Here is an 11,129-nt window from a genome sequence, read left to right as displayed (position 1 = left end):
CTTGGCTGGGTATACAATCTTTGTCTCCCATTATATTTACCAGCCTGCTGGTCTCCCGAAATCCAAAATAAATTAGGTGTATTTACGTTTATCTTTGCATATATTGCTTCTTTAGTCAATGGGAGTTGCATTTTTAATCCTGTGATATTAAGCTTTAATTTGTTTTTATTTCTTTACTTCTAACTCCAATGATTTGTGAATATTAAAAACAAAAGTCTCTCTTTTCTTCTCTCTTTCTTTCTCTCTTCCACCCACCTGCGTGACTTACATATCTTTTACCATCACTTAATCTCCGGTGCTCTGTTTCATTATTCTTTCATAGATCACAGCAGTAAGAAAGAAACAGCCATAAAGTGATCCATAATGAATTAATAATAATGTCATATAGCATTGTATATGTCTCTAGGCTCCAAATATCTTTATGCAGATAATATCCATGTTTTAATCATTGTATGACTTTGTACAATATCTACTCTCAGTTGATAGTACTCTGTGTAGTATTCATTTAAATTTGAACAATGTTTCTATTTTTTTACTAGCTTTAAAAGATATTATATTTAAGTATATAAAGCTATTAAATTTATATTATAGCTTTTTATATATCTGTGTCAAATTTATATATCTGTGTCAAGAGCAAAACATTACCCTTACCTAGCTTCATCACTTCAAGGTGGGCATCCGATTCAGCAATACTCATTAACTACTAGGTAGATGACTCGTGTTAACTATAGTAAAGCCATTTTACAATCAACTTATGAAGTAATAACACTAGCCAAAAACACAGAGACACATATACCAAAAATGATGTGTTTAGTACATACAAATAGCTATACTTGGGGCATCACTATCAAGTAACAAGACTGATTTAATACTTTACAGTCATAGCATATTAAAAATATATTACCAGAGGGATAATGGTCCCACATACAAAAAATGTCTGTATGGAAAAGGCTGTGATTTATTGCAAAACATAATATATAGCAAATTCCAAGGCAAGGCAAACATGTTTTAAAAACAAATTTTTAAATTTAATGGCTTAAGCCAAAGTCTCAGTTACTTTCTGGAGAATTCAGAACTTTTAGGGGTAGAAGAATGCTTTTTTTTTTCTCTCCTTGTTCTTTCCTTTTTGTGATGTTTCCCTTTATTGATTTACTCTTTTTTTCTTTTCTTTCTTCTGATATCTTCGTTTCTTTTGTTTTGAAGTGTCCTCTTCAGTGGAACTGGATAAGACCTTTTTCTTTTTTTTCAATTTGATTTTTTCTTTTTTCTTTTCCTCTTCTTCATTTATTCTTTTTTCCTGTAATGCCTGCAATTTATTCAGTTCTTCATTCTCTTCATCTCTATCTTCACTACTTGTACTGCTGACATCCAAAACTATGTCCCTTTTAGGGTCTACTCAGAGAAAATTGCGGCATTCAAAAGTAAGGTGACAAGGGTAGCCACATTTTTTACAGTCTTTTCTGACACTGTCTTTGTTGCAACCTGGGACAGCCATGACAGTGGTAAGAGGGCTCACTGGACCAATTTTTCTACTTTTAGCATGTAGTCTGGGGAATAGTGAATAATTATTGTTAATTTCAGTGTGAAAATGAAATTATAAACTTGAATTTTATTTTATATAAAAGAGCAACTACAGTAATTAAATCATGCAAATCTTATTAATTTTATGAATGTGTACTTCACAGTATGTAACTATTCTCAGCTGTCTCTCTAAGGAAAATTGCCCAGATCCTAATACCTTATAAAAGGTTCAGGACTAAGCACTTACCATCTCTGGGATATTTAGCAAAAAGTATGAAATGGGTTAACAAGTACAACCTGAGGAAACCTGCAAAATGAAGCAGATTTCCAGTGAATAAAAATGAACACCAAATCTGTTTCAATAACCTAATTCCTGTTAGTTTCTGATTTCAATTATTGTCCAAACTGATATTAAAAAATAATTATTTATTGTCCATACAGTAATTTGAGTCATTTTCTGTTCTGTGAAGTCAGAAGAAAAGGAGATCAAGAAAGAAGATCCAGAATCAAGGCTACAAACATTAGAGGACTTAATGAGCTGGTTGAGACATAGCAGGTGAGCAGCAGACTCTAAGATTGCCCAGTAGCAAATCAGTTTGTGTTGCTGATGTACTTAATAAAGTTTTTGCTGGCAACTAGTTAGGATCTAGATGGTGAAGGTGAATACATAGAGGGCATTTTTGCTGGTGATCTAAAGTATTTGTATGGAGGGAAAATTAAGAATGAGAGTTTTAAATATCACTGAGTAATTTACAGCAGAAATCAGATCAGTTCAATTCTGTATGCTCTATCCATAATAGATTAGGAAATACTATTTGAATTAAAACAGTTTTTATATATATAAACTTTTAAAACATGACCTAAGATGTAGTATGCACACAATAAATGTTAACTCTCATTGTTGTTGTTAATAATGATGTCACCACTACAATAGAAAATGTTTCCTGGTGTAGCCAAAATTCTGAGACTCCTGAAAATGTAGTCCAAATAGTGTTCCCAGATGTTGCTTAAGGGCAGCACTTTATGAATTTTCTACTGCTTTCGGCTTCTCTGTTTACAAATAAGAGGAGTCTGGATATCAAAGAATAAATATTTGGAGGAATCAAATAAGTTAGACGTTTCTGACAGTTTCTACCCATCTCCTCTAAAGTGCTTTTCATTTTCATTCTGTCTTGATGTTACATGACCCCAGACATATGTCCACTGGTGTTATTATGACCCCAAAAAGCATAAACTACAGCAAAACATAAAAACCAGAAATCTCCATCCAGAAAATTGGCTAGAAGAAAAAGAAACATAAAATAAAATGCACATATATTTTCTGAGTGATTGATTTAGCAGGACAAAGTAAGTAAAATTTTAGTTAGAGATGAATCTAACAGGCTGGCAGGTCCTCACAGGAGATGCTCTGCTTAATTCAATGATGTAGGCAATTGATTAAAGTACATCTCATTTGTTGATTTAATGGACATGAAGTCTGACAATGGATCCATGTCTGACAATCACTGAAAGGAGAAAAATTCTCTTGGAAACTCACTGGTGTGAATGATTCAAAAGGAAGAGTGAAGCTTGAATAGTCACTCTATACGTGCTTTCAGGAATGTCTCTCTCCTCTCTTGAGTTACTTTCTGAAAAAATTATTCCTTTTCTCAAACATTGTTCAAACACTGACATTTCTGAAACTTTTTCCTGACCACCGTGACTATAATACCTTTCACATTTACCTAAATCATACCCCATGGCAAGTTATTGAAATATAATAGCCAGCAGTGCAATTATGGCAGTTAATTAACTTTAATGTTGCTCAATTTCTTCACCAGAAAATAACTAGGGGAAAAGGGGAGATGTTACATACACCTCACCAGCCTGTTCTTAGGATTTAAAGAGAGCATTATTGAAATAGTAAGAGGGCATGAAATGTATAGTAGGAGTTTGCCAAATGTTATTTCTTTGTAGCTAGAGCATATTTGTTTTCACATATAAACAGAGAATTCAAAGCCCAAGTAGCCGAAATGATGTAATTTTATTGGATCTACTCTTACAATCTCAGCTTCATTCATTAATGTTGGAAATATTTATGCTCGATTCATTTATGTACCAGAAAATTCATGTGATAGTGGGAATGCAATGATGAGTGAAAACAAACCCAATCCCTTTTCTCACAAAGTTTATAGATGTTGACCAAGAATTAAGGTGATAAAAAATAAATAAATAGCAGTTAACTATGTAAAATGAGCAAAAGGAGAAGAATATTCTATGCAGAAACACACACACACACACACACACACACACACACACACACACAAATTGCAAAGGCAATATGACATAAGAAAGAATTATTCATTCAAGGAACAAATGGTGATGATGATGATGATTGACAGAGCAGGAGCATCGCCATCTTGGACAAGCACCGCCTTTTTAAAGTTCCCCTTGATCAACAACCGCCTAAATCCAAAGGGCATCAGCTTAATAGCTAAGGTCAGCATGACCATAAACCACAAATGACAACTCCAACCAGAAACATTCCAACCCTAAAATAAACCCCTCCCTGACCAGAGACATGCCAGCCCTGAAATAACCTCCCCTCCAGCAGGAGAGATGTCAGTCCCAAGATAACCTTCCCTTTGAGCGGAAACATTTCAACTCCTCAATAAACTTTTCTCCACACAGAAACATTCCAAGTCTTTGATAAGCTCTCTTGCCCTAAAACCCTTAAATACCCTTAGTCTGTAAGACACAGCACTCCTGACCAAAATCAGCCAGAAGCCCCTCTCAGGTTTATTCTCCAAAGTAAACCTGTTTTTGACTGTTGAGTCACTTTTCGTGTTTCTCTCTTCTTTCTTTAACTCTTATAATGATGATGGTGATAGGAAAGAGATTATGGCTGGAGAAGAAAGCAAGGAGGTAGACACATAAGATTATGAGATAAAGCTGCAGTGGAAGACAGATGTCAGAACATGCACAGTTTTGCATTATGTAATCTTTTAAAAATATTCATCTTAATAGAATTGGGGAAAAAAAGAAAATAAGAAATCTCAGACACAAAAACAATATTTCGTGGGGACAAGGAAGGTATATCATTGTGTTGGTCTGCTGTAAGAAGGTGCCACAAACTGGGTATCTGAGAGCATCGGGAGTTTATTTTCTTACACTCCTGGAGGTCGAAAGTCTTAAATCATTATGTTGCCAGGTCTGTGCTTCCTCTGAACATCCTGTTCCAAGACTCCCTCATAGCTCCTGGTAATTCCTTGACTTGTGACGGCATAACTCCTATCTTTATATGATGCTCTCACTCCATGTGTGTATGCCTGTAGCCACATTTTTCCCCTTTTATAAGGACCGCTGACATTCTAAGGAGGGCACACCCTAATGGCGTCATCTTAACTAATTATATCTGCCATGACTGTATTTCCAAACAAAGCCACACTTGAGGTAGTGAGGGTTAGGACTTCAATGTATTAATTGGTGTGGGAGGCGGTATAATTCAATGAATAACAGATGGCATATTGTTTAATGGTGCATAACTGCAGTCACATGCTCTACCCATGAGCTATACCGCCCTTTAATGGTGCATAACTGATACCTGATATTAAATAATAAATGTACTTATTATTTATTAATCATCTATATGATTTTACTAATTACTTTTAAACTTGATCTTATATTTACAGCTTGTGAAAGGAAAATATCTTGGGCCCTCAAAATCACTAAGGAAAACTCAAGGCAGGAACTGCTTCATGTGAACCTGCCTCCCATTCTATTCAAAGTCACTCCTCTGCTCACTGAGATAGATGCGTATCTGATTTGCCTCCCTTAGAAAGGCTAATCAGAAACCCAAAAGAATGTAACCTTTTGCGTATCATCTATCTGTTGCCTGGAAGCTCCATCCCTGCTTCTAGTCCTCCTGGCTTTACTTCAAGTTGTCGCGCCTTTCCAGACCGAACTAGTATACATCTTGCATATTTTGATTGATGTCTCATGTCTCCCTAAATGTATAAAAGCAAGCTGTGCCCTGACCACCTTGGGCACATGTTGTCAAGACTTCCTGAGTCTGTGTCATGGGTGTGTCCTCAAAGTTGGCAAAATAAACTTTCCAAATGAACTGAGACCTGTCTCAAACTTCCAGGGTTCACAAGCTTATAGTCTACCATCCTTATGATCCTTTAACAGATGTAATTTTTTTTACTGTATAAATGAAATAACCATACAGATATGCTGATATAAACCATACAAAATTAATATTAATGTAATTGAATATTCATTTCTCATAAGTTAGGTTACCTTCAATTGAACAGCTAGATGAAGATTGTATTACCTGTATGTGTTTTCTATGTAAAAAGTAGGCATTTAGATTAAGATGGCATTCTAGACTCACATGTGATTCACTTATCCTTGTTGAGAAACTAACACTGTGTAGAAGTGAAAAAAAATAGATCAAAGAAAAATAAAATACAGAATTCAGGAGAGGGTGAGACAAAAAAAAAGAGGTGACGTAAAATTCTGGAAAGGAGGTGAAGAAGAGGAGTGAGAGGACACAAATGAAAATGGAAGCAGAAACTTATGACAGCAACAAGGGGGAGCCTTCATACATCTGGTTTAATAAATACATCAGCAAAGAGGACATATGGACACAATCCAGGACAGCAAAAATAAATCAACATCACAACTTATTTTATGAGGCCAGCATCATCCTGATACCAAAGCCTGGCAGAAACACAACAATAAAAGAGAATTTTAGACCAATATCCCTGAATATCGATGAAAAAATCCTCAATAAAATACTGGCAAACTGAATCCAGCAGCACATCAAAAAGCTTATCCACCATGATCAAGTGCGCTTCATCCCTGGGATGCAAGGCTAGTTCAACATATGCAAATCACTAAATGTAATCCAGTGTATAAACAGAACCAAAGACAAAAACCACATGATTATCTCAATAGATGCAGAAAAGGCCTTTGACAAAATCCAATGGCCCTTCGTGCTAAAAACTCTCAATAAATTTGGTATTGATGGGACGTATCTAAAAATAATAAGAGCTATTTATGACAAACCCATAGTCAATATCATACTGAATGGGCAAAAACTGGAAGCATTCCCTTTGAAAACTGGCACAAGACAGGGATGCCCTCTCTCACCACTCCTATTCAACATAGTGTTGGAAGTTCTGGCCAGGTCAATCAGGCAGGAGAAGGAAATAAAGGGTATTCAATTAGGAAAAGAGGAAGTCAAATTGTCCCTGTTTACAGATGACATGATTGTATATCTAGAAAACCCCATTGTCTCAGCCCAAAATCTCGTTAAGCTGATAAGCAACTTCAGCAAAGTCTCAGGATACAAAATCAATGTACAAAAATCACAAGCATTCTTATACACCAATAACAGACAGAGAACCAAATCATGAGTGAACTCCCCTTCACAACTGCTTCAAAGAGAATAAAATACCTAGGAATCCAACTTACAAGGGATGTGAAAGACCTTCAAGGAGGACTACAAACCACTGCTCAGTGAAATAAAAGAGGATACAAACAAATGGAAGAACATTCCATGCTCATGGATAGGAAGAATCAGTATCGTGAAAATGGCCATACTGCCCAAGGTAATTTATAGATTCAATGCCATCCCCATCAAGCTACCAATGACTTTCTTCACAGAATTGGAAAAAACTACTTTAAAGTTCATATGGAACCAAAAAAGAGCCCGCATCACCAAGTCAATCCTAAGCCAAAAGAACAAAGCTGGAGGCATCACGCTACCTGACTTCCAACTATACTACAAGGCTACAGTAACCAAGACAGCATGGTACTGGTACCAAAACAGAGATATAGACCAATGGAACAGAACAGAGCCCTCAGAAATAATACCATGCATCTGCAAATATCTGATCTTTTACAAACCTGACAAAAACAAGCAATGGGGAAAGGATTCCCTATTTAACAAATGTTGCTGGGAAAACTGGCTAGCTATATGTAGAAAGCTGAAACTGGATCCCTTCCTTACACCTTATACAAAAATTATTTCAAGATGGATTAAAAACTTAAATGTTAGGCCTAAAACCATAAAAACCCTAGAAGAAATCCTAGGCAATACCATTCAGGGCATAGGCGTGAGTAAGGGCTTCATGTCTAAAACACCAAAAGCAATGGCAACAAAAGCCAAAATTGACAAGTGGGATCTAATTAAACTAAAGAGCTTCTGCACAGCAAAAGAAACTACCATCAGAGTGAACAGGCAACCTACAGAATGGGAGAAAATTTTTGCAATCTACTCATCTGACAAAGGGCTAATATCAGAATCTACAAAGAACTCAAACAAATTTACAAGAAAAAAACAACCCCATCAAAAAGTGGGCAAACGATATGAACAGACACTTCTGAAAAGAGACATTTATGCAGCCAAAGGACACATGAAAAAATGCTCATCATCACTGGCCATCAGAGAAATGCAAATCAAAACCACAATGAGATACCATCTCACACCAGTTAGAACGGCGATCATTAAAAAGTCAGGAAACAACAGGTGCCAGAGAGGATGTGGAGAAATAGGAACACTTTTACACTGTTGGTGGGACTGTAAACTAGTTCAACCATTGTGGAAGACAGTGTGGTGATTCCTCAGGGATCTAGAACTAGAAACACCATTTGACCCAGGCATCCCATTACTGGGTATATACCCAAAGGAATATAAATCATGCTGCTATAAAGACACATGCACACATATGTTTATTGTGGCACTACTCACAATAGCAAAGACTTGGAACCAACCCAAATGTCCATCAATAATAGACTGGATTAAGAAAATGTGGCACGTATACACCATGGAATCCTATGCAGCCATAAAAAATGATGAGTTCATGTCCTTTGTAGGGACATGGATGAAGCTGGAAACCATCATTCTCAGCAAACTATCACAAGGACAAAAAACCAAACACCACGTGTTCTCACTCATAGGTGGGAATTGAACAATGAGAACACATGGACACAGGAAGGGGAACATCACACACCGGGGCCTGTTGTGGGGTAGGGGGAGGGACAGCGTTAAGAGATATACCTAATGTAAATGACGAGTTAATGGGTGCAGCACACCAACATGGCACATGTATACATATGTAACAAACCTGCATATTGTGAACATGTACCCTAGAACTTAAAGTACAATAAAAAAATATATATATGTATATATATATAAAGAAAACAAACAAAAAATAATAAACATTGTCAAGGAAAAAAAGATTATTAAAGAATATGGAGAAGTTACTTTCAAATAAAAAAGATGACATTCCAAGGAATTAAATTTAAAAAAAAAAGACTCTTAGATAGATGACTGATAAAAATAGAAATTCTTTAGAGCAATCAGTATATAAAAATCCTGAAATGTTTCTGGATGCAGAAGGGGGACAAAAACAACAGACAATATGATGGAAAAGAAACATAGGAAAGCACTCCAAAGGATAAGATATATAAATAGAATTCCCAAAGAGAGAAAAAATTTAGAGAGGAGGGGTTATAATAGATATATATGCATTATATATATATATATATATAGACATATACACATATATATATATACTATACCGACATTCTAAGAGCTGAGATGTATTCTGAATCTTCAGACACAGAGTGATCATTAAGTGGCTAGCATAGTTTTAAAAAGAAAGAAAAAAGAAGGCCGGGCATGGTGGCTCACGCCTGTAATCCCAGAACTTTGGGAGGCAGAGGTGGGTAGATCACTTGAGGTCAGGAGTTCGAGACCAGCCTGGCCAACATGGCGAAACCCCGTCTCTACTAAAAATACAAAAATTAGCCAGCCATGGTGGTGCGTGCCTGTAATCCCAGCTACTCGGGAGGCTGAGGCAGGAGAATCACTTGTACTGGGGAGTTAGAGGTGGCAGTGAGCCAAGATTGCACCACTGCACTCCAGCCTGGGTGACATAGCAAGACTCCGTTTCATAGGAAAAAAAAAGAAAGGGAGAGAGAGAGAAGAGATAACCTTGCACAACTATTTTGATTCTAAAATGCCAAGGATGAAGTAAAAATAAATGTGTAAATATTGTACATTATTTAGGTATCCTCTAAGATGCCTCCAAGATTTCATATCGTAGAAAATGTTGAAGCCCTTAAGTAACAGGAAATACAAATGTCAAATTCTTTTTACCAGCAGAACGATACCAGGGGTGTGAAATGTGTTTTTGTAACACTAGGTAAACATGTCCTTATGACCTTTCAGAGGTGCCAACTAGAAAGCTGGGTAACCAAACTGTTTGTTACAGTTTGAAGATAGATGTTATGAGCCAATAAAAGTGATGTTGCCACACTGATTATATTCTTCAGCTTGTCATTCTTTCAGTATATGTCAGTTCAAGTGTGTGAGTGATAACATCAGCAGAAATAGTTGATTTTTTTCATTTCCTTCATAAACTATATATTCTGCAACTTGATACAACAGATAAAGAAGCCAAGAAAGCTGAAAAAAATTGACTGACAAAGAAAAAGGTTTTTGGTATTTTTTAATTTAAGGAGAAATTTGAATAGCACCAGGCTTCAGTTACTGTTTACTATATGAAATCTGGTGATAACTATAGCATTGACTGAAGTAAAAGTTCAGATCTGTATTTAAGATAGTTATTTCAAAAGTGTCAAAGTTGACATTGTTGTTATAAAAAGTAAATTGTAATGAAATGTTTGCAACGAAATACGTACACTTTTAAAAATAGAACTTTGCACTGTGAAAATGTGCATGTCTTGCTGAAAGATAATAATATGTTGTATCCAAGGTTACCTAACCTAGAAAAATAAAAATTCCTGGCACCGTGTTTTATAAAGAAAAATACTGACCTTCTGATTTCCCTATACATCACTCTGAAATTACACTGAATATAAATGTAACAATAAGCTTAAGAATATATAAGATGTAGAATATTGTTTATTTAATTCATTGGAAGGTTTCATTTACATAACTAGCTATTGACTTTATACGCACTTTGGTCCAACATATGAAGTTGGTGATAAATTATATTTTAAAAGAACTAACATATTTCCAAAAATTATATAATAAATCAATTACTGAATGAGAAAGAGAAATAAGTAAAAGTGAATTGTGTTTTTAAAAATGCTCAAAATAAAATTACTTTTCTATGTGTTTAGTATATATTAGAATTACTGGATTCAATTCAAACATAGTCATCATCCTTTGCAATGGTAAATAGTGAGGAAAGTAGCTCTTTTTCAGTGATAATATTGGCATAAGATAGAAAAATATAAAAGTCTGAAAAAAGTATTAAAAGTTAAAAGTTTTACTATGCTATATTTCAAAAGTGTGATCATACATTACAAATAAAACCTAGGAATCACTTAACCAGAAGTCACAATAAATCGACAAATTGGATCAAAAGAAAAGAACAAAAATACATATAAATATGTATTTAACAGTGAAAACAACCATTTTAAATATTAAATAAATGTATTATAAAAACAAAGAATAATAAAAACATTTATTAGGCTAAGTATAAGTAGGTATAGTGTGTAAGTTATTACACATAAACTGTCAGTGACTTTGCAGAAAGACTGCACTTTTAGGTCATAACATACACAAACACTAGCTTAAATAGATT

The 11,129-nt window shown here is 35.2% G+C and overlaps 1 pseudogene; it reads right to left on the bottom strand.

Moving 5' to 3' along the window:
• Nucleotides 1-856: 856 nt before the first annotated feature.
• Nucleotides 857-1,520, bottom strand: SREK1IP1P1 (SREK1IP1 pseudogene 1; annotated as a pseudogene).

The sequence above is a fragment of the Homo sapiens genome, chromosome 21 (assembly GCF_000001405.40).
Source record: "Homo sapiens chromosome 21, GRCh38.p14 Primary Assembly".
Taxonomy (NCBI): domain Eukaryota; kingdom Metazoa; phylum Chordata; class Mammalia; order Primates; family Hominidae; genus Homo; species Homo sapiens.
The sequence above is the reverse complement of the archived record's forward strand: the minus strand, read 5'-3'. Positions and strand labels throughout refer to the sequence as shown.